A 24100-nucleotide genomic window follows, 5' to 3' on the forward strand; every position below is an offset into this window, starting at 1 on the left:
CTTTGCTCTTGCTTTTTCTTCTGCCTGCAATGTTTTTATCCCTAGATATCCACATGTATCACAACTTTTTTTTCCTTCAACATGCTCACATGCTGCCTTTGCAGTGAAGGCTTCCTCCACCACCCCACCCCTAAGTGCTCTGTATCTGTGATTACTTTCCATATTATTTTCCACCTTCTTGTATACCAGATACTTACTTACTTAATTTGTCCATTGCCTGTCTACCAACTCCCCAATAAGGGTGGAAACCCCAAGGACAGATCTTCATCTTTTCACTGTATCCCTAGCATTTAGGACAGTGTCTGCCATAAAGCAGCCTCTTAAAAAGAGTTACTGAATGAATGGAGGGAAGAAGCACATAGAATCAGGGGCTTTGCCATCTTGTAAACATAGATTTCTTGCTTTTACTTTGGAGTTTCATCCCTCACAGGGAAAGATCTTATTCAAGGTCGATTGTTGATCAAGGGCCCACAAAGAGCACTGGATAATACCAGAGTGTGCCTGTCCACAGTCATGAGTTTCAGAAAGATCATCCTCTTCCCAGGGTGACTAAGGAGGGGCTGCATGGGATGAAAGGATGCAGAGAACAGAACGTGGTGCCTGAAGAGCCTGCCAAGATGTGCATCAATGTCCAGTGCAGGTTCCTGGGAAGCTAACTGGACCCTTGTTGCTGCGCAGATGAGCATGAGGGGCCAGAGCCCTCAAAGCAGGGTAAAGAGCAAAGGAGACATTAAACAGCCAGCAGAAATCTTTCTTTGTGAATTTTGTAAGAAGTTCTTCACATATAAAAGGAAAATTTGTCTTCGTTTACTTGAGTGAGAAAATAAGACTATATTTTCAAGTCCTTAATATATTTACTTAAGACAAAAATTAAAATTGCAGAAAAGCACAAAGAAAACATCCAATGATTATTGCCATTTTGCCAGATTTACTTCAATATTTAATAAAATAAATAATACATTATATATAAAGTTCACATGCCTTTTGTCTGGGATTCCAAGCCTCATTCCCCTCCCTAGGTCCCTAGAAATAACCTCTGTCATGAGTGTTGAGCGTTTTTTCCAGTTAGTAGAATTAGATCTATTTACACACAGTGATATGTTTACTACATCTCAAAAATTACAATTTAGACAGAAAAAAAGTTGTAGAATGAGTTTTTACAGTATAATGGTTTTCACTGAAACACACACACACTAAGCAGTGTTATGTATTGTTCATCCTTTAAATAAAAATTTCTTTAAGAATGGAGCACTTGGGGAAACTTTCAGAAATATCAGTGCTATTTAAGAATAACTCTCCATAAAGAAAATCTTTATGAAAGAAGAGGGAATAGCAATCTAATACTGTTTAAGATAATGTCAATTTCATTTTACGCATTTCCTTGAGTTTCTAAGGATTTTTAAAAACTTATGGTGATAAAGTCTAGAAAAATACTAACACAGGTGGATTTGAATTTATTCATTGGATAATTGTACAGTTGAAAGAAGCCCTTGAAATGAATTAGATACATGATTGATTAATGATTAGTTTCATTCTTTCTTCGTTTATGGTACTTGGGGATAAAACATGCCATACTATGTTTGCAGAACTCTATTTAGCAAACCTTTGGTCTTGGTGACTGTATAAATTGGCAATTACATGCACTTTAAACAGAGGAATATTGTGTTGAATTAAATTGTACAGTGGTTTGGGTTGAACCCAGTTCAACCTAGCAAGTCTTTTGCTTATTAAAACTGTGCAATAGCTATAAAATCTGTATATTATCCGAAGATACACTCCTTTACAAAACAATCACATTATCAGAATAGTTTCTCAGAGTGTGAAAAGAATAAGATATTAAAATATATTTGAATCATGAATCATATTTGATAGCACATGTTCTTTCTTCCTTGCTTCGTTTACACATAGGGCTTAATTCTAGGCAGTGCCTCTCAGCGCTTCCATCAGATTACCCATCATGTCAGAGGAGGGGAACAGGCAGCTCAAGGGCTCTGGGGCTTTGCTCAAGGCGTCTCCTGCAGGAAGAAAATATTTATCTAAATGTTCATGTTTTTATTCAAATTTTATAGGATTTGCATTCTAATCTGAGATATTTACATTTAATAATATACATATGTTGTTTAAATTACTTACTAGTTAAATTATTTAACTTTTTAATACAAAAACCTCGAAGCAAAATTGGTTTTCCAGAGAAGACGGACCTTGGTTATTCTGGCATTTTGTCACTTTTCTCTAATGGGAACATAGGGTGATAAACAGTACTTTAAGGTATTATGCTAAATTTGTGGACAAATTATAATTTCACAGCCTTAGTAATTCTTATAGTTATCCTCCTGACAATAGATTTAGGTGTTTTTATTTTTTTTCCAGGGTCTTCCTCGGTTGCTCAGGCTGGAACGCAGTGGCGAGATCTTGGCTCACTGCAGCCTTGACCTCCTTGGCCTCCTGAACAGCTGGCACAACAGGCACGAGCCACCATGCCTGGATAATTTTTGTATTTTTCATAGAGATGGGGTTTTGCTATGTTGCCCAGGCTTTTCTTGAACTCCTGAGCTCAAAGTAACCACCTCAGCCTCCTAAAGTGCTGGGATTACAGACAGGACTCACATTTCTTTTTCACTCTTTTAAAAAATCTGTGCCTTGGTTTGTCCATTTACAAAGCGGGATGAGAAAAATACTATAGTTAACCTGAGTTTCTCAGATTAAAGTAACCACATACAAAATTCTATGAACAGTAGCCAACATTTAATGACTTGGTCAAGTGTCAGGGGCTGTTCTATGTGCTGCCGGTGGGTTAATGTATCTGGTCCTCACGACAGCCCCATGAAGCAGGCACTTTCATCATATTCATGTTCAGATTAAGAGTGTGCAGGGCTAGGAGGTCAGGAAATTACTCCACTGCGGTACAGAGTTTCTCAGAAATTCTCAGAACTATGGTCATATAAATATTGGAAATGTTGCATATTATACAATATGGAATGACAATATAAAACAAACCCTGAAAATTGTTGTAGTGAAAAAAAAAAACCCAAATAAGTCTTCCTTAATTTTGTTAACCAAAAATTTTCTAAAATAATTTAATAACAGGGTATTTCCTCCTCTTCCTCCTTTTACCAGACAGCTATTATTATTCTTCAGAATTAGGGTCCTCAGAACAGACTTGGAGAATCAACTGACACAGCCCCATGAGTCTGGAGGGGACATGGGGCTTGTGGGGACGGGGCAGGGATTCTCAGTTCTGATACTCTAAACACTGAGAAAGCAGTTTGCTGGATCTTTGGCATAGATCTTGGGAGAGAACTATAGTTAATTTAGGTAGATGAGACTCTCTCCATAAAGTAATGATAGTTGAGAATTAGTTGAGAAATTTTCAATTTAATCAAATAAACACTTCCTACGTGCCACCTTTCTAGGTGTTTGGGATAACACAGTGTGTAAAATCGACATGTACCCCTGCCCTTAAGGAGGAGTTAAACAATCAATGAAATAATTAACTATGTGTTATATAAGAAAGAAAATGATCCCAAGCCAGAATTGTTAGATTTCTGAAAAAATGTTTCAAGAAAATGCTGTTAGATTATAGCAGAAGCCTACCAAGGGTGGGACAATGGGCAGACACCCCGTCGGGTGCAAGCAGTGAGGAGTGCTCTGTCTGCAGGGAGTCACCGAACAGCAACACAACCAACAAAAAGTGGTCTGCTTGTTATTGTCACCATGAACCAGTGACAACTTCATTGATAAAGGAAATTCATTCATTTCTTTTGTTGGTCTAAGTCTTAAACAATTATTATGGTTACTGTTACATTTTAATATACACATACACTTCAAATTAGCACCTTTTATTATCTATTCTTTAATAAAAACTCTATTCTACATGAAAATTAATTCAGACAACCCCTAGTTATAAATTCCCTCCCTCCACACTTGCCCTTCACACACACATTCAGAATCGCTAGCGCTTGCTTCAGGAACAGAACTTGTCTCCTATCCCTGGGTTAGTATATATGCTTGAGTTTAAACAGTCGTTTTGACATAAACAACAATAGCAGAGTGATTGTAGAGACACAGAAACTGAACTTGGGCTATATCAATTCTGTCATTCTTTTTTTTTTGAGATGGAGTCTCGCTCTGTCGCCCAGGCTGGAGTGCAGTGGCATGACCTCAGCTCACTGCAACCTCCACCTCCTGTGTTCAAGCAATTCTCCTGTCTCAGGCTCCCGAGTAGCTGGCATTACAGGTGCACATCACCACACCTGGTGAATTTTTTTGTATTTTTAGTAGAGATGGGTTTTCACCATGTTGGCCAGGCTGGTCTTGAACTCCTGACCTCAAGTGATTTGCCCGCCTCGGCCTCCCAAAATGCTGGCTAGGTGTGAGCCACCAGCGGCTGGCTTAATTCTGTCATTCTATGTGGCCACTACATAACTGCCATCATTCTGTATGTTTATTTGTTTGCAATTAAAAAAAATGAAAGTAAGAATTGCCAAGTGTCATATTTTTGTTTGGAAAGTAAAAATTTTAGTTCATACAGAAGATATTTACTAAATTTGAATAATATCACTGAAATAGAAATTTGTTTTAAAACAAGTCTTATGTAATTATTTAATAATTAAATATTTAACATTAAATGGCAGTATTGTACATTTCTGAGGCAAACAATATGTAGATATAAGTTTCCCCCCCATGAATGTGATGAAAATTATTGATCCACTGCTTTGTTTCCTTTTTTGTGCTATAACATTTATTTTATTTTTTTCTTTGTTCATTGTTAAATTTTAGTACTAGCATGCTATGAACATGTAATTCAATTACAGAAAAATTTCACTGTCTCTGATTCTTTTCTGGCCATTATTATTATTAATTTTGTGATTATTCCTAAAGCTAATTCTGTTTTAAGGAGGAGAGAGAAAAAATGATCTGCTCTGAGTGTCAAATACACTAGTTATATCATTGAACTTGAATGAGATTAAGATTCCCTTTTGGGAAGTTAAATTTATCTGCCCAGCTAATCATCTGTCTTGTGACAGGCCTAATAACTTCTAACCAGACATTCCTTCATTGTACCTAGTCTAACAATGTTATCTAACCACTTTCTCTCCTTCTAGAAACATGTCTAACAAGAGAGAAACCTCAGAATTGGTGTTCTCAGGAGCCCTTTTTCTTGTGGCAAGTTTGAAATAAAACTTGGACTGGACTTTACAATTAATTGGTCTAAAAAATGCCTTTAATGCATGTTAGGTAAGATCTATTATTAAAAAGCAAACAAGAGAGCCCAGAGCAGGGTAAGAGCAATTGGCAGCATTGGTGGGGGTTAGTGGGTGGCAATTTAGCATGGAGTGGTTAGAATAAGCCTCATTGAGGAGGTAACATTTAAGCAAAGATGTGATGATGGTGAGGGATTTCACCATGTGAATATCTGGGAGAAAGGCATTCCAGACAGAGGGAGTATCACGTGCAAAGGCCCTGAGGTAGAGATTTGCTGGTGAGTTGGAGGTTATAGTAACAGGCTGTTGTGGCTGCTGGAGAGGGAGCCAGGGATTTGGTAGGAAACAAGGTCAGAGGGGCTTTGTGGGTTATTATACAGACTACAGAGGCCCTGCCTCTTCTTAGATGTCATTCTCTACTTAAGACCTTGTTTAAAGTCCTTTTTCTTCACTTCTGAGATGGTTTCCTCACTTAAATTCCTACAGAATTTGGTCACACCTTCTTATATTCTGTTTTGTCGTAAATGTTTGGTTTCTAGTCTTATCAACCCTCATTGGATTATTAGCTGTTTAAGGGCACAGCTGTGCTTGATTATCCTTTGTAATCTCACTCATTCACTTATTCATTAGAAATTTATCGAACACTTACTATGTGCCAGGAACTAGGCACTTATTAAACACATTATTATTGACTAGGCCCTTATTAAATATATCATAGCCCTCTCCTCTCAAGGAAATCATCTATTAGGAAGACACACAAAGATAGCAGCATTTTAGCACAGTAGGAAAAATATTATGGAAGCATAGAGAGAAATGCCCAATGGGGGAACCGGAGGATGGACAGGTCTGATCAGAGATGACTCCAGGAGGAGGTGATTCCATGTACAAAAGAAACACCTGTGGCATAGAACTGTACCTTGTGCCACTGGAGGAACTTTCTGTATATCTGTGAAGAATAACAGTTCTAGGGGGAAAGAAGGTGCAGTCTCTCTGCCTTTGAATAAGGCTACTTACCACTGTTATAGACTCTTGGCTGCAGCAGCCCTGGGTTCCATCACTGGGAGGGACATATTCACCAGATGCAGCCCTTTCTTGACTCAGTTCCTTCTCTCCTGGTTGAGATGTTCCTTTTCCACCCATCCAGTGTTCTTCAGCAGTCTGACTCCGGTGGGTGAATTATCTCAGAGGTCACAGCATTCCTATGGTTTTGGAATGTCTTTGCTTAGCAGTGGGATTTTGTTCTGAGGGTTAGGAAGAGTTATGGGCTATATTCATGAGTATCTACGACCATCCTATGCAGCTAGTGGGAAACCTGAAATTACTTGAATGCCTTGTTTTGCTTCTATATATAGGAAAATGGAGGCACAGGTTGGATAAGTGCCTTCCTTAGTGTCATATATTAAGTCAGTGACCAAAGTGGAAGCAGACAGATCTGTATATTAATAATTTGGGAGTGCTATGTGCCAGACTATGCTAGTTGGCATGGAGTCAAAGGCCATGGCTTATAGTAACTGCAAATTTTTAGACTTTTGTGCTTCAAATGCAGAAAAGTAATGATGCATTAACTTTGCATCACAAAGTTAACTTTCTTGTTGCTTTTGTGTGTATGCATGTGTGTATACATGTGTGAGGGTTTTTTTGAGTGCAAAAAGACAGATCTGAGTGTATGCAATATGCTTGAATTGGAGGCTATACACTGAGCTACACACTCATTTGAATGATTGACTAATTATTCCCTTTATTAAGTGCTCTGAGGTTTTTATTTTGTTTTAACATTTGGGCACCCATAACACCTTCCAGTTGACAATAAGAAATTATTGACTTTGTCATATGCAGCAGTTCCCCTTTATCTGCCGTTTTGCTTTCTGTGGTTTCAGTTAACTGCTGTCTACTGAAGCCTGAATATATTAAATGGAAAATTCCAGAGATAAATAATTTATAAGTTTTTAATTGTGTGCTGTTCTGAAATCTCATGCTGTCCTTCTCTGTCCTGGCTGGAATGTGAATCGTTCGTTTGCTCAGGTTTCCACCCTATGCCCCCACCTGCTAGTCACTTAGTAGCTGTCTTGGTTATTAGGTTGATTGAGTGTCTAGGTGGCATGGCAGTGCTTGTGTTCAAGTCACCCTTATTTTACTTAATAATGGCTCCAAGTGCAAGAGTAGTGATGCTGGCATATTGTTATAATTGTTCTATTTTATTAGTTATTGTTGTTAATCTCTTACTGTGCCTAATTCATAAATTAAACTTTATCATAGATAATTATGTATAGGAAAAAACATACTTCTATAGGGTTTGGTACTATCCAGGTTTCAGTCATCCAAAAGGGGTCTTGGAATGTATCCCCGGAAGATAAGGGGGAACTACTGTATCAAGTACTTTGAAGATAGTACCTTATTCTCCACTCTTGGCTTTTATAGGAAGATGGAGGAGCATCTCCCAAGTGCTACTACTTAATTTTTATGTATAGGGGAGCAAGCCCATGTAAATAAAGCACCTTGCCCAAGGAACTCAGAGCGCAAGAAACATCTGGCCAGTGTTTTGTAAGGCCCAGGAGGGAGTAACCTCTGTGATAATACATGCCACCACAGAGTTCCTGGCTTGCTTGTAATTACAGTAAGAGGTTGTAACTTGAGAGAAGGTGGTAGAAGACCAGGTTAAAATCATCAAGGAACTCTTCTCCCACCTGCTGGATTTTGAGTGGCCTCCTCCACCCAGACCACAGCGGGCTGAATTGAAACCCTTCTATCATCACATGAAGAAGAGCATTTCCAGGTCACTGTTAAAAAGAATGGCATGTTTGGGGTAGGGAAGGCTTTATCCAGGATTGCCTTCAGTGTTATTGAGCAGCATAGTTGCTCTGAGAAAAGATCTCTCCAGACAAGGGGCAGAACTGTTTAAATCCTACTCAGGAGCTCTACTCTTTAAATTTGAATCCAGTTTGTCTTGAGCTCCCTGATGTGGGTACTCAAGAAAGATTTGTAAATGTATTCATTTCTTTAGGTCAAGGGATTGTCCTCCTTATTTGACCTCTTTAAAATGCAGACTCCCTGGAGAGATAGCACATTAAACTACTAATAATTACACCCTAGAGGCAAGAAGTTTATAACATTTTTTTTCTTCCCCAATAAGGGGACATTCAAGCAGCAAAAAGGTATTGAAGTGGGAGGTGTTAAAAATGGGGAAAAAGTTTAGTCCCACCTCTGATTTGGAGCCTAGTATTAGTGGTGTGGGTGGAGCAGATTGATTGGCCAGGTCCACTGAGGCTGCAGCTGGGTGCCGGGCCCTGAGACCGGAACTTGAGACCAGGAGATATAAGGTGAGGAGAGAGAACAAGGACAGGGTAGGAGATGCTGTTTAGTCTGGGTGCTCTGAGGAGGAGATGCCCAGGCTGGATTAGACAGACAAGAGATTTATTAGAGGGAATGCCTATGAGGGAACATAGGAAGCGGGGAGAGCCATCAGACTATGATGTAGGTCTGAACCTTGTGAATAAGAGAGGGAAGGAAATAAAGCTGGGTGGAAGAGTCTTAAGCTGAAAGAGAGTCGAAAGTGCCTGTCAGAAGAATCTACTATCTTCCAGGGATGGCCCTGCCTTAATGTTCCTGCTGTGGTCAGCTGTTGACTGGGAGCAGGTGGTAGGAAGTGAGGCCTCCATGTGAATGTGGTGATAGATTACAGAGAGCAGACACTGGACCTATTGCTCAATTTTGCACCTTGCCAGCAGAGATCTGAGGGGTGCACTGTCGTGCCAGTGTCTTCTATAGACAAGAAAAGCCTGCTTGGAGCTCCTGCCAGGTGTGGGCCACATGGTGTGGGATTGAGCTGCCAGGGTCACAGCATGCATTTGGAGCAGCCAAAAGGGAAATGAAGACACAGACATTCTACTGTGGGATGCAGTGTTATGTAGCAGAAAGATGTTTGGCAGAATGCTATTTGTCCAACTTTTAACTCTGCTGATGACTGGCTGCATGGCCTCAAGAACGGTGCTTTGGACCTCTCAACCTCGGTTTCCCATTAAATGAGACTAATAACACTGATCTTGCAGGATGAGGTCTGTAAAGTGCCTTGCAAATGCCTGCCACAAAGCAGCCATCCCATAAGAGGGAAGCTGTTTGTGGTTCTCTTTTAGGATTGGCTAGATTTTCTGTTTGCCCAATATCTTGTGTTTTAAAATGTGCCTAAACATGCTTTTGAGATATGTAAATGTGCTTAAATATGCTTTTACATGCATCAGTTGTTATATTTTAGAAGATGATCCCAAACAAGACTGCAGTTGTGTAGGGAAGCCTGGCTAAGAGCTCTAACACGTGAACAAGTTCATTTTCCATGTCAGCATGCTCTAAGGCTGATTTGATTTGGGACCACATCTGAAATTTAGCAGAAGCTATTATATTTGGCAGTCACTTTTTTTTGTACACAGGTTCATGATGTCTTTTAACATGTCAGAATGATTAAGTTGTTTCTGGAGGAGGACTGGCATGGGGTAGCAAAAAGAGCATCAGGCCAGAAATCAAAAGGTAATGACAAGTCATTTGTGTAAAGTGCTTTACAGTTTATAAGGTGCTTTTAAAAAAGGTTGGGCTTCAGGGTATAGTAGGTATTAGCATCTCATGTCACAGATATGGAAACTGAAGTACAGAAAGCTCGAGTATGCATAAGAATGTCTATGCTATGCATGCTGTGGAGGGCATGGAGAAATTAGAAACTTGTGATGAACACTCAGGAGAGACTCAGTGCACTTCACTTACAGCATGTCAAAGAAATAAGAGGCATGGGTCTCACATGGGGATGGAAGATACACCTTTTGCTTGGCGATAGTCACTGGACTTGAACCTTGGGCGGCAAAAATTCTCAAAATTTGCTTAGGAGGAAGCTACAAAGGGTGACATTATGAAAAACTACTTAATGTGCCTTTAGGCAAATGCAAAGTTCCTTTAAAGAGCTATTTCTTGGAAAATAACGATAATGCTCATGCCAGTTATTTGCCCATTTGCTCTCCACTCCATTCCCTGCTCTTCTCTGCCTTGCTTTCTGTTGCAGGGAACTACATTTCCCAGGCTCCCTTCTCTCTCAGTTTGAAAAGAGGTTTGGCTAATGAGCAGCACTGGCAAAAGACCAGAGGGCAGGAGGAGTGGGGCCACTCCCCTCTTTCTTTCTTCTTTGGGCAGCTCCCCTGGCAGCAACTGAGTCTCTGCCATGGCTTCAGTTCTCACTCAACAGACCCATCATGGTTCCAGGTTCTGCCAGGTGGTTCTACCTCTTCCCTTTGTCCCTCCAATTTAGGGGTGGTGGCAGCTTCCTGTTGTTGCTAATCTCTGAGTTGTTTCTCTGCCCTTCTCTGTTGACTCCTAATCTCTTCCATTATCTGTATAATCAATTCCCTGTATTAAGTAAGCAATGAAGAGAGGACTCCTTATTCAATAAGTGGTGCTGGGATAACTGGCTAGCCATACACAGAATAAAACTGGATGCCTACCTTTCACCATATACAAAAATTAACTCAAGATGGATTAAAGATTTAAATGTAAAACCTCAAACTATAAGAATCCTAGAAGATAACCTAGGAAACATCATTCTGAACATGGGCCTTGGGAAAGAATTTATGACTAATTCCTCAAAGGTAATTGCAACAAAAACAAAAATTGACAAGTGGGACTCAGTTAAACTAAAGACCTGCTGCACAGCAAAAGAAACTAACAACAGAGCAAGCAGACAGCCTACAGAACAGGAGACAATATTTGTAAACTATGCATCCAACAAAGGTCTGATCTCCAGAATCTAGAAGTAACTTAAATAATTGAATAAGCAAAAAACAACCTCATTAAAAAATAGGCAAAAGACATGAACAGATACTTTCAAAAGAAGACATACAAATGGCCAAAGAAGATGAAAGAAATCATCACTAATCATCACAGAAATGAAAATCAGAACCACAATGAGATACCATCTCCCACCAGTCTGAATGGTTATTATCAAAAAGTCAAAAAAAAAAAAAACAACACACAACAACAGATGTTGGCGAGGTTGTAGAGAAAAGGAAACACATACCCCGTTAGTGGGAATGCAAATTAGTTCAGCCACTGTGTAAAGCAGTTTGGAGATTTCTCAAAGAGCTTAAAACAGAACTACTGTTTGACCCAGGAATCCCATTACTGGGTATATATTCAGAAGAAAACAAATCATTCTACCTGGAAGACACATGCACTCACCTGTTCATCACAGCACTACTCACAATAGAAAGGCATGGAATCTATCTAGGTGCCCATTAGTTGTGGATTAGACAAAGAAAATAATGTACATATGCACTATGGAATACTATGCAGCCATAAACAAGGATGAAATCATGTCCTTTGCAGCAACATGAATGCAGCTGGGGGCCATTATCCTAAGTGAATTAACACAGGAACAGAAAGCCAAATACTGCATGTTCTCACTTATAAGTGGGAGCTAAACATCAGGTACTCGTGGACATGGGAGACTACTAGAGCAGGCAGGGAGGGGGGCAAGGCTTGAAAAACTAACTGTTGAGTACATTGCTCAGTACCTGAGTAAAGGGATCATATGCACCCAAAACCTCAGCATCATACAATATACCCAGTTAACAAATTGCACATGTGCCTCATGAATCTAAAATAAAAGTTGAAAAAGAAAAAAAAATATCTACAGTAGTATCTTCTTTCTGACTGGATCTTTGCTGATACAATACCTAGTGTTTATTGAGTTATTAGCATGTACTGGACAGTGCTCTGGATTTTTAAATTTTACCTCATTTCATCCTTATGATTCATATAACCCTGTAAGTAGGCATTATGCTTAATTGTCCCAGTTTACAGATGAGAAATGAGGCATCTGCAGCACTAAGGCATGATGTATTGAGCTCAAGGTCAAACAACAGAGTAGCTGTGGTGGGATTGAGAACCAGGTGCTCTGGTTGACCACTGTACTACACTGCCTCTTGATCACAGCCTCAGAAAGCAGCTGAAAGAGTTGAGCTTCTCCGCACTTTCACTCAAGGGCTTTGCCTTGCCCTCTAGAGGTGACACGGACTCACGTGGAGCTGCACAGTGTGTCTTTAAACCTTTAAAACAGTTAAGGGTTTTAATTTGATCTTTCATTTCTGATTTAAAAAGTAGTATGAATTCATAGAAGAGATTTCAGAATCACTCATAATGATAACCTTCATGTAGCAATCATTATTAATATCTGGGTGTTTTTCCCCAGGTTTTATTTTGTATGGGAAAACTATCTGGGAAACTGTTTTTTGCATAATGTGATTTTAAAAGAGAAAGTTGACTGTGATCAGGGAGTATGCCTTGCGAATATAAGCATCGGAAAAGAGAAACTAATGTATAATAAAAGTGTTGTGATCTATTGACTACATTGCCCTGAAAGTTCACTAGCATGAGACATTGTAGCTATTTATGCAGGTAGACCTAAGGTAAAGAGGAAGTGTAAAATCAGCAAAACTCAGGCTCTGTGCATACCTTGGAAATGTGCCTACTAAATCTTATTCAGTATGTGTCAGCCTCCTTACATTTCGGTTTTCCCAGAAGATGACTTTGGGATGAAATTTTGGAGCTCTCTCGACTGGAACAAAACATTCTCTATTTGTTATACCAATAATGCTTTAACTTCTTGCATTTTACTAGTATTCTCCACCTGAATTCTCCCTATCCACCTAAAAAAGCAAAACCCAGCAATAATTCAAACCCTCGGAGGTACATTATGAAAAACATGTGCAGCAGAATGGCCGTATGCTAAGGTAGGCACCCAGGGATGAAATCCCAAGCTTTATTCCCTGAACTCTCTCCGCTACTCTGTCATGTGGCGGGTGGTTCACTCCACCTTTACCATGCTTCAATGTTTCCAGTCAAGCAGAGGCAAGTGGATGATATATCTGGCAGGTACTTTTATAAAGGCATTGTGAGAATGTAGAGGATTCTAGGAGGAACTCTGCTTACCACCTATTGTGCCCTATTTCAGGTTGAGCTCAGAGTTTAAGAGTCCTAGCAGTGAACTATGACTTAGAGGCAGTGACTTGGGATGCTTTCATAAGCTTAAAGGTTTGACGTGCATTTTTCTCTAAATTGCAAATGTTTGTGTCTACTCATCAGTCTTGAAAACTTTCTTGGACCTGTCATTGTACACAGGTAGATTTTCTCTCTGTCCTACAATTTTTAGCTTCCTCTATAATTACCTTGTTTACTCACCCTCCCCCGCAAGGACTCTCCTAACAATTACTTTGTTATAATGTTTAAGATAACAAAGGTGATAAAGGCAGCCAGAGGAACCTGGCTGGCTGGGGTATGGAGTGGATTCTCACCCAGTAACATGAAGAAATGGTACAGCTATTTGCTCTTCCACAAGGAGAAGGAAAGGAGGAGGATGAATGGGAACAGGGCACAAAGGCATCATGGAAACCTGCAAGTGAGAGTTTGAGGCATCTATTTTACCTAGAGATAACTAAAAGAGACTGATCATGATAGCAGTATGCATTGTTCCAAGAGTCTGTTTAATTGAAATGATGAGAGTAGGCCTGGAAAATGGAAGGAACCAGCTGCAGTCTCTTTGTGGCAAACAAAGATCCTATGAGGAGACGTATTTAAGCCTGGGATCAAGGAATTGGAACGAACAAAGGTCTTGATTCCAGCTTTTACTGTATTAGTGTACTGTAATCTCTGGCACTGAATAAAAAAGCCTTTGGAGATAACTTGCCTCCAAATAAAACAATTTTATCATTCTCTGGGGTAGTGGGGGAGGATGCAAGAACCTACTACCTTGTTAGACCAGAATTTCGTGAAACAAGGACAGCACTCAGGATGGTCCCTCTGAATGAATGAAATGCAAAGAAACAGTTTCTTAAAACCCCACGATTCCTGTTTTTGAGTTATTAGCATGTTTTTTGAGGTTCTTTATAATTTCATGTTCAACTTTGTTTTACATTATGGATACAAATACATTTTTATATCCGCTACTTTTTTGTCTGTCTGTAGCATTCTTTTCATGATTGTTCCGGGGTGATTGTGTTATGAGCTGATGTATTATGTCTGGCATAATGGACATCTAATGTTTGGGAGACCAAGAACTCCCTTTCCTCCATTCTCTTCATTAGGGGACAGCATGCCTCTGTGACAGAGACTGTACGTGTCCACCAAAACCTGTTTTCTCTTCCTCCTGGGCATCACGTGGAGAGGAGCCACCTGATCAGGACTGTGTCATGAGTGAAAAATAAACTTTGACTATGCTAAGCCACAGAGAGCTAGGGGTTTATCCATTTGCAGTAATTAATATTACCCTTACTTAAACACCTTTTATTTTGGGAACTGCTTTTCTCCATTCATGTAGATTCAGCAGGCAAAGCCATGTTTTTAGAGTCCATATCTCAACCCCATTTCCACATATACTTTATTGATTCAGGGGTGGCTCACTGACCCAAACTGAGCCAACCAAATAGAATTTTAAAATTCTAACCAAGAAAGACGTCAGTTTCTCTCTAGCAGTGGAAAATGTAAGATGTTAAACTTAGAAACCACCAAGAGAACCGTCTAAAAGTGAGAGACAGGATGAAAAAAGGAGGTGGGAAGGAAGGAGGAAGACAGGAAGGAAGAGAAGTAGGGGCAGGAAGAGAGACAGATTTTCCTTTTGAGTCTCTGAATCTTCTTGCTCTTTTGTCCAGTTATCTGTCTGCCCTTCCCATGGTTTAGATGTGATAGTACCTAATAACTTTCCAATATATTCCCATTTGTTGCCTAAGCTAGTTTAGGTTGGTTTCTGCAATTTGTGACCAAAAGAGTCATGACCAATACATGTCATAAGAGATGACTTATTACATTGTAATGTAGTGTTGAAGTCCATCATAATAGATATCCAGATAATCCATCTCCAATGAGTATATATGACAGTCAAGGAAATATAGAAGCAAGAATATAGAAACAGCAGGTTTTTCTGTTCAAAAGCTTATAATCTAGTTTGGGAAATAAATACTATATAAACCAATGCCAGAATCCATGGTACAAAAAAAAAAAAAAAAGACTGCAGGGGAATTGTTAGGTATTTGGCATAGAAAGTAACTATCTTGAACAGGGAAAGAGGACTTGGTAGAGTCATTGGGAACTGCTTGAGGAGAAAGGCTTGACTGAGGTATTTCTCTCTCATCTAAGATACCAACAGTTGACAATGTTTTTAAGTAATGGGAGAAAAAGGTTAGAAAATCTAATTTTTAAAAAAGGTTGAAAGCACATAAAAATATATTTTAAAATGACCTAACCAACAATTTATAGAGCCACGTCTAGAGGCACTCATCAGCCAGTAAAGAACAAGGTTTCATTTCCACCATTCTTTGCCTTGTTCTTTAAGCTTCAGAAATACTGAGCTGCTGAGAGTTGTCTTGTCCATACACAGTTTGCCTGCTCAGCCTGCTTTTTTCCGTTGGGAGGTGCCTTCCAACCACAGTAGCTGCTGAAGAGACAGCTCCAAATAGCCATGCTCACAGTGGACTATTCTGGCCACAGCTGATTGGGCCAGAAGTGATCACCTGATCCAAGCCGAACTAATCACATGACCTTCCCCTATGTAGTTTGAACTAGGAGAGGTGGAAGTGTTAAGGCTGTGAAATTACGGCTAACAAAATAGGCAGGTAGAGGAAATTGATTATCAGAAAGGAGAATGGGGCAGACGTTCAGGTTGAAGTGGACATGGGAGGTTGTGTGGTGCTAGTTCTTGGCCTTACTACCTGAAATTGGTTTCCTTACTATTCCCTTCAATACTAACAGTAAACTTACTTTTTACTTGAGCTTCTTAGAGCTGGTGTCTGCTTCTCATAGACAAACAATCCCTGATCAGAGTGTTCCCAAATATTAACACAATGTGTTTCGTTCCTGTGCACGCATTTCTCCTGCCTTCAGTAACTCTGCACATTCTGTTCTCCAGCTCACTCTGTTCGTTTCTGAAAACCCAGCTCAGCAGTCAGTCCCCTTCTGTGGAAGGTTTTAAGTTATTTATTGAAGAATAGATAGCTCATAGTAAGGAAGCAGAGGGACTTTCAGTTAGGGGAGGGTAATGGGAGCCAAGCAACAGAGAAGGGGTGTGTACAGGAACAGGGCAATGAGAAGGATCAAAGCAGAGGCTTGTTTATGTTAGAGAATAGAGGGGAGAGCAAACTTCAAGTACTTCTGCAGGACAAATATTTGTGATCTTGGCGTCATTTTGTCTGAAGGCTAAGGGCTCACCACGTACTGGATACCACGGAGAGGTCATACTGTAATTTATCCCAGCTAAGAAAGAAACTGTAGCTATTCCCGGGTATCAGTAATAACCCATTTCTGTAGCATTGCGAGGTTCAGCTCAAGACAGAGGACCACCCAGACGTACTACAAATGTTTCTGCTAGAATTCAAATAAATCACATTTGCAGACACTATAGTGCTTCCCATCAGGGGTGAGAAGGGTATGTGCAAAATAGTGCAAGCTCTGAGGGGCTGGGAGGAGCAGTTCCCCACATTGCCAAGGAGGGCCATAATGAAGACTGTCTTCCTGCTGGGAAGCACCAGAACGCGTTTATTGATTGGAGGTGAATGCAGTGAATGTAAAGTTGGGGAGTTTTGCAGTTTAATCCGACATCTGTCATTCTCGGAAGAATGAACAGTTCAAAGTAAAACCTCATCCATATTGATGTGTAAGAAGAACTCTGGGCTAGGAAAAATGGGGCCCATGAGATCAGGACTGGGAGAGCTAAGACAGAGCAAAGGTCTTCCCAGTAGCTGTCCATAACACGCGGACCAAGTTAATTGCCCTGTTGGAAGAATTAAGGAAATAATATACTGAAGCAGCTAATATAATGTCTGGCTCAAAATGGAGATTGAAAAAATATTAGCTCTCTTCTCCTTTCAAATCGGGAAGGTAGGGGAAGCTTTGGAAGCAGACTTCTGACTGCTGGAGAAGAAAAATAGAAAAAACAACAACGTGGAAACACAGATGTGTGTTTCTGGTGTGCAGGGAAGTTGAATTTTCCATTTTGGGGAGAGGTTTTTTTTTGGTGGGGAGGAGGGAGCAAAGATGGAGTGCCTACTTTATTATTATTTTTATCCCTCAGGTTGGCAGGTGGTGGAGAGAATACCAAGACCTAGGCTCTCCTGATCTCCCTGCATCCCTGTCATTTTTGGCAATGTCGCTAATCGGCCCAGCAGCCCGAATCCACACGCCCCGGCGTCCGGGCTCTGCAAGGTGCAGCTGGTCTCAGGCCCTGTCTCAGGTAAGTAATGGGCACTTTGGGCTGCAATTTCTGTTCCTGAATAGGCCTCCTATCTCAGAGTCATGCTTCAACAAACACTCAATTAAAAGGAAAAAAACCTCTGGGTGATGGAAGGCACCCTATTACTGAGAAGCAGGGGATGTTTACTGAAGAAAGCGACTTCTCCCTAGTTACTAGTAGCCGAGCGAAGATTTATGAGCCAGTTTGTCCCATAGCGATCAAACCTGAAATGTGAAGTTTAAACTGGCGCATTGTTTAATCAACAAAACAAACTAGGCCATGGGAGTTGCTTAGAATTGGGAATTAGGCAAAGCAGTGGAGTGTTAAGGCCATGGTTAAAAACAAGCTAGACCTAGGGTGGTTCTGTTAGCAAAAGACACTAAATTTAACACCAGACGCCTACAGATGAGAAGTCAATATTATTTTTTATTAAATGTTCACTCGCAGCTCATGACGGTAATCTGAAAAAATACATTTTCTTTCCAGAATACAGAAGTAATCAGAATTTATTCACGTGGGCCGACTGAGAGTTTTGACGTCAAAGGGCAATCCTGTCTGATTGATACCACTCAAATGGCAATATTGTTTGAAGAAATGTAGTTAGAGAGATGGCAATTTAAAGGCTATAAGAAGTTACAGGAAAAGTGAGTGTAACATTCCATACCGATTTCTGACGTGCGATACTACATGGTGTTGAATTGCCAGAAACTTGTCAATTGGGTTTCCTAGAGATTGAGTATCTGAAAGGAAAGGGAGGAGGAAATGTGGTTTTCAGGCACCTTACAAACACCACAGTAAACTATTTTTTTCCCCTGGGCTAGTCATTGTGGTAAATGAAGGCTTTGGTTTCTAAGACTCTGTTAATAAACCGTAGTCATTTCTTTCAAGTGTTTTACTTTGAAAAAGTTTTTTGGCTGGGTGCGGTGGCTCACACCTGTAATCTCAGCACTTTGGGAGGCCGAGGTGGGCAGATCACTGGAATCCAGAAGTTGGAGACCAGCCTAGGCAACATAGTGAGACTTGGTTTCTACGAAAAATACAAAGATTAGCCAGGTGTGGTGGCCAGCATCTGTAATCCCAGATACTTGGGAGGCTGAGGTGGAAGGATCGCTTGAGCTGGGAGGTTGAGGCTGCAGTGAGCTGTGATTGCACCACTGCATTGTAGCCTGGGTGGCACAGCGAGACCCTGTCTCAAAAAACAAAAACAAAAACAAAACTCAAAAAACAAAAAACAAGGCAACAAATAACAGTTTTTTTTTTGTTTTTTCAAACAGGATTTTGTGAATAGAGACTATAAAGCACTCCTGTAACCTTGGCCCCAAAGAGGGCTCTCCAGACAGAAAGTTGCCTGCATGTCCCGGTGCGTGTTTTTGAGTGTGATACTGTTCTTCACTGCTCTGTCCCAAGAAATCCAGCATTGCCTATGGCATACCTTCTGAGGAAAGCCTTTGGGGCAAAGAAATTACAAAAATGAAGGTGGGGGAGTATTACAATTTGTAACAGTCACTTAAGAATTCTCAACATGTTTTTTTCATTGGCTATAAACAAAACAAGGTAATACAAGACACCTGTGACCATGCAAAAAATAAGAGGCACAGATGCCCCACCGTTAAAGCAAGCAGGTCACGCAGCAGGGGCATTCCTGTGGGTGAGCGGCCTGGGAGACCAACAGAGAAGAATCACCCAGGAGGTAAAACAGCATTCAGTGAGCAAGAGGCACAGAAGTCTAGGGTGAAATTGCCAGTGAAACAGCCTTCTCAGAATGCTGGGATTTTAGAAAGCACAGCTGGGAAGTTGTGGGCTGGAGAATCCATCAGCCTCCCTCGTTGTCTATCTCTTTCCTTCCTAACTTTCTTGTATCAGCCATCAGTGCCACACTGGGTGCTGGGCTTGAGGGGATAAAATGGGGAACATACGCACCCGGTTTCTGTCCTTAGGGGGCTTAGAGTAGAATGGGGAAGAGATAAACCCAAGTAAATAGCATACAAATAAAATAATTGCCAACTGTGATAAAGGACTTTGAAGAAAGCAATTAAAGTTCTGAGTTAGAAGGTAACATGAGAGTAAATTGCGTTTCCTAGGGTGGTCAGGAAATGTTTTTTTGGACAGACTTAACATATAAACAGATCTGTAAGGAGCAGGGAGGATTTTAAAGTTTGCAGTGGGTAGAGAGGTTGGGAAAGTACTGAAAGAAAGTGGTGTGGTTGGAGAACAATATACAAATGTGACAATGAAACAAAATGGAACAAAAGAAAAGGGAAGGCTTGTCATCAGACGTGGTGACAAGTTCATTTTGATCTCTCACCCTCTATCTTCACGGTCTCTTCAGGCCTCCTAGACTTCCATTGGAAAGCCCTGGCCTCTTGGAATTACAGGTGTTGGAAATCCACACCAAACTAACTTGAGCAGGGAAGGGGAATTACCATACTGTGAGCTGTCAGGGTGCAGCTGACCAATAGATGGCTGGGGCCCGGGGATATGGGCATCGAGATTCACTTTTTTTTCTCCTGTGGTTCTCCTTCATTGTCCAGCAGACAGGCCTTGGCCTGTACTACAGTGGGACAGTGTTTCCAGTAGCAACTGTTTATCTTCCCAAATTTGCCACCAGGCAGTGGGGGGCTGTCTTCCCTTACTTCCAGTTTGGCTCATGCTTGGTGAGAGACTCTGTTTTCCTTGGCTTGGGTCACATTCCCACCCAAGGAGACAGGGTGCTGCCGGTGGCAGCGTGGGGGAAAGGAGCAACTCCCCTGCAGATGCCTGCCTGCCTGTGAGGGCGTCGATATGAGTGAGAAAGGGTAAAGAGCTGTGAGTATGTGTATTGTGAGATTGTGTGTGTGTGTTTATGTAGATGTGTGCATGTGTATGTGAGTGTGTATGAATGTATGTGTGTATGTGTGACTGGGAGAACATGTATGTGTGTACATTTGTGAGTATGTATATATGTTGAGTGTTATGTGTAAAATTGTGTCTCCCTAAAATTCTTATGTTGAAATCCTAGCCCCTAATACCTTAGAATTCAACGTTATTTGGAGAGAGGTCTTCGTATAGATAATCAAGTTCAAAGGAGACATTAGGGTGGGCTGTAATCCCATTAGCTGTTGTCTTTGTAAAAGGGGAAATTTGGACACAGAGCCACTCAGAGAGGGAAGAGGTCGTGAAGAGACACTGGCAGAAGATAGCCATGTACAAGCCAAGTAGAGAGGACTGGAACAGATCCTTCCCTCACAGCCTCCGAGGAACCAACCTGGCCGACACCTTGATTTCAGACTTCTGGCCTCCAGAACTGTGTGAGACAGCACATTTCTGTTGTGGAAGCCACCCAGTCTGTGGTACTTTGTTACAGCAGCTCCAGCAAATGCACACCATGAGCGTGTGTGTGACTGTGGGCATCTGAGTGTCAATGTCAATGTATGTGTAGACTGGGAGTTGCTCTGGTCATAAATCTAAAGATGGCTATCATGCTGCTCCTTTTCTTTGCTTATCCAATACCACTCACATTTCGAGGCCTGCCACAAATCCCCCTCCTTCTTGACATCTTTCATGGGTTCTCAGTGCTCCAGGTGCAATTCTGGCTGCCACCAATTAATCGCGTGATTCATGGTGACCTTGAGGGAAACAACCTTTCTCATTAATCTTTGGGTCCCTGTATTTGTCTTATGGCCCAGCATGTAGTAAGTACTCAAATAATATTTGTTTGCTTCACTTAACCTTCTATTTAATTTTTTTTACTGTGAAATAAAACAAATGTAGAAAATTGTACAAAACAAGAGTTTACAGCCCAGTGTTTTATCACAAAGTGAACATCTGTGTAACTACTACACAGAGCAAAAAATACATTCCTCAGCACTCAGAAAGCCCCTTGCTCTCTGCATGTCCTCTTCTGGTGACTTTACCTTCCTTGCCCCTGGAGGGTAACTACTACCCTGATTTTTATGGTAATCACTTCCATGGCTTTCTTTATAGTTTAGGCACCTAAGTTGCATCCTAAATCTCATAGGTCAGTTTGCTTGGTCAATAATAAAAAGGTGTTCAACTTTGCCAGTAATCAAGAAAATACAAATTAAAAGGATGATGTAATAACACCAGACACACAGCAGAATAACAAAACTTAAAATGACTGGTAGTAGTGATGTTAAAAATTAAAAATTGCAAAAACAGCTGAGAATATATATTTATTTTGGAAAAGTTTGGCATCATCTCAAGTTGAACAACAGAAGTGTGTGCAATGTGCACCCAAGACATGTTTGTGAATATTCCTAGCAATGTAATTGGTAATAATGGGTTGATGGAAAAATCACATTGTGTTTTTTGTTTGTCACTGTCTGATTACTATTGATATTGAACCTTCTCATGGTTCTTGGTCATCATGGCAGGGATTCTTAGTATGTTTTGAAGTACACCTGCAGAGATTCCTATTAGACATCTAAGTGAAGATGTCACGCAGGGAGTTGGATATATATGGAGTTTATGGGAGAAGTCAGGGGATGGTGATAGAAATTTGGGACCATCAGCACACAGATGGTATGGAAAGCAATGGAAGAGATAAGATGACTTAAGGGATATGAGTGCTGATAGAGAAGAGGGCTGAGGGCTGAGCCTCAAGTGGGAGTGAGAAATCCAGTAAATGAGATTGGAAAGTAACAGACAGTGAGGTAAGAAGAAAACCAGACACATATGATGTTCTATAGTCCAAGAAAAAATATTCCCCAAAGAGGGAGTTATCAAATGATGATATTAAATAATCAAATGATACTGGGAAGTCAAATAAGACAAAAATTAGGAAAAGACTATTAAGTTTGGCAATACAGAGGTCATTAACGACCTTGAAAAAACAGTTTTAGTGAAATGGGGGGATAGTAACCTGAATGGAAGGAGTTCAGGAAAGAATGAGAATCAAGGAAGTGGATGCAGAGAGCATGGCAAGGTTTTGAATGGTTTTACTGTGAATGGAAGCCAAGAAATGGATAGTGGAATTAATGCTAAAAGGAGGAAGATGTGGGATCAGGTAACAAGCCAGGAGAGAATGAAGACAATTGCTGTGCCAAAATCCTTATGTGGGCAAGAGGGGACAGGATCCATTGCACAGATGGAGGGGCTGGCTTTAGAAAGGAGGACAGACAGTTCAAGCCCTATTATAGGAGGACAGGCAAGGTGCAGGCACAGCAGCAGAGAGGATGCCAGGTTTGACTGCAGGATAAGAAAGTTCTCTTTGGGGTGTTCCTTCTTTCTTAGTAAAATAAGATATGATGTCCTTCAGAGACCAATGTGTAGGATGTGTTGAAATTTCAAGTGAAGAAGAGTGAGTGTGTGAGAGACTTGTCTCAGAGGGCAGGAGAATGAACTGGCAAGGACATTATGCCAGAATTCTTGGTTAAGGTTGAGGACATTGTTAAGGTTTGTGGTCGTGATTTTAAAGTGTGATTAATCCAAACAATTGTGGGATTTTTCTCTGGCCTTCAGAATTGGCTTGGGTGTAGGCATGGAGTAGACAGAAAGCTGAATGTAATTAGGATTGCGGTTCTGTTTTCTGAGTACATAAGGGGCAAGGTGAGCAGATGAGAGCTGAGACTGTATATGAGAGGTGATGTTAGAGATGGACCATGGAATTTAAACTGGGGAAAGAGGGAAGTGAGAACCTGATGGTCAGCAAAAGGGTGGTAGGTCCAAGATTTGAATATCCTGAGGTTACTGGAATTGTGGTAAAAACAATGATCAAGATGGAAAGCTCAGAGGTTGTAATTAGAGGGACACTTAAAACCAATATTTTGGAGGAGTGAAGTTATTGACAATGAGAAGAGACAGGGTATGACCAGGAAAATAAGTGGCTGAGGTGGGATATGGGATAAATTCAGCAAAAAGAACAAAAGTCTGTGAGATCTATGTGATTATTTTGATTATTTAACCACTCCCCATTGTTACAGAAGTGGAGAGGAAGACAGTGAGCAAAGACACATTCTTTCATTTAATGAGAGTGATCAACAGATTGGAAGGTAGATTCTTGCAACAATGCAAAGTATCAGATGGTATGGCTGGGTTTACAGGATGGAGTCAGGAGTGTTAATCTGAAAGAGGCAATGAGGAGAGCTCCCTGCTCCTTTAGGACAAATGTTATCAGAGGAAAAACACAACCTGTGTAGTGACTGGGGGAAACTGTTCCTTTGGGATCTACTGGAGATTTTCATTGGAGTGAGAAGATGATATATTCAGAGAAATTGAGTTTCTAGGTTTTTTTTTTTCTTTCTTTCTTTTTTTTATGACAGAGTTTTGCTGTGTTGCCCAGGCTGGAGGGCAATGGCGGATCTCGGCTCACTGCAACCTCTGCCTCCTGGGTTCAAGCAATTCTTCCACCTCAGCCTCCTGAGTAGTTGGGATTACAGGCGCCCATCATCATGTCCAGCTAATTTTTGTGTTTTTAGTAGAGATGGGGTTTCACCATGTTGGCTAGGTTGGTCTTGAACTCCTGACCTCAGGTGATCCACCCACCTTGGCCTCCCAAGCTGCTGGGATTACAGGCATGAGCCACTGCACCCAGCCTCTAGGTATTTTTACTCCTAACACACCATGACTTCCAGAGGACCCGGAAAAGGGTTGGGAGGGCAGTGAAGGGAAAGGACATGGGGTTAGATTGGCAGATAGAGAAAACTAT

The 24100-nt window shown here is 40.8% G+C and overlaps 1 long non-coding RNA gene across 1 annotated transcript; it reads left to right on the forward strand.

Annotated features, from left to right (window-relative positions):
- The first annotated feature begins 15798 nt into the window (after positions 1–15798).
- LOC107985420 (uncharacterized) lies at positions 15799–22230 on the forward strand. Its single transcript, XR_001737800.2, has 4 exons — positions 15799–15841; positions 17296–17454; positions 17941–18098; positions 18729–22230. It is a non-coding gene; the product is annotated as an uncharacterized LOC107985420 (long non-coding RNA).
- Positions 22231–24100: the final 1870 nt, after the last annotated feature.

Source organism: Homo sapiens, chromosome 1, assembly GCF_000001405.40.
Source record: "Homo sapiens chromosome 1, GRCh38.p14 Primary Assembly".
Lineage (NCBI taxonomy): Eukaryota > Metazoa > Chordata > Mammalia > Primates > Hominidae > Homo > Homo sapiens.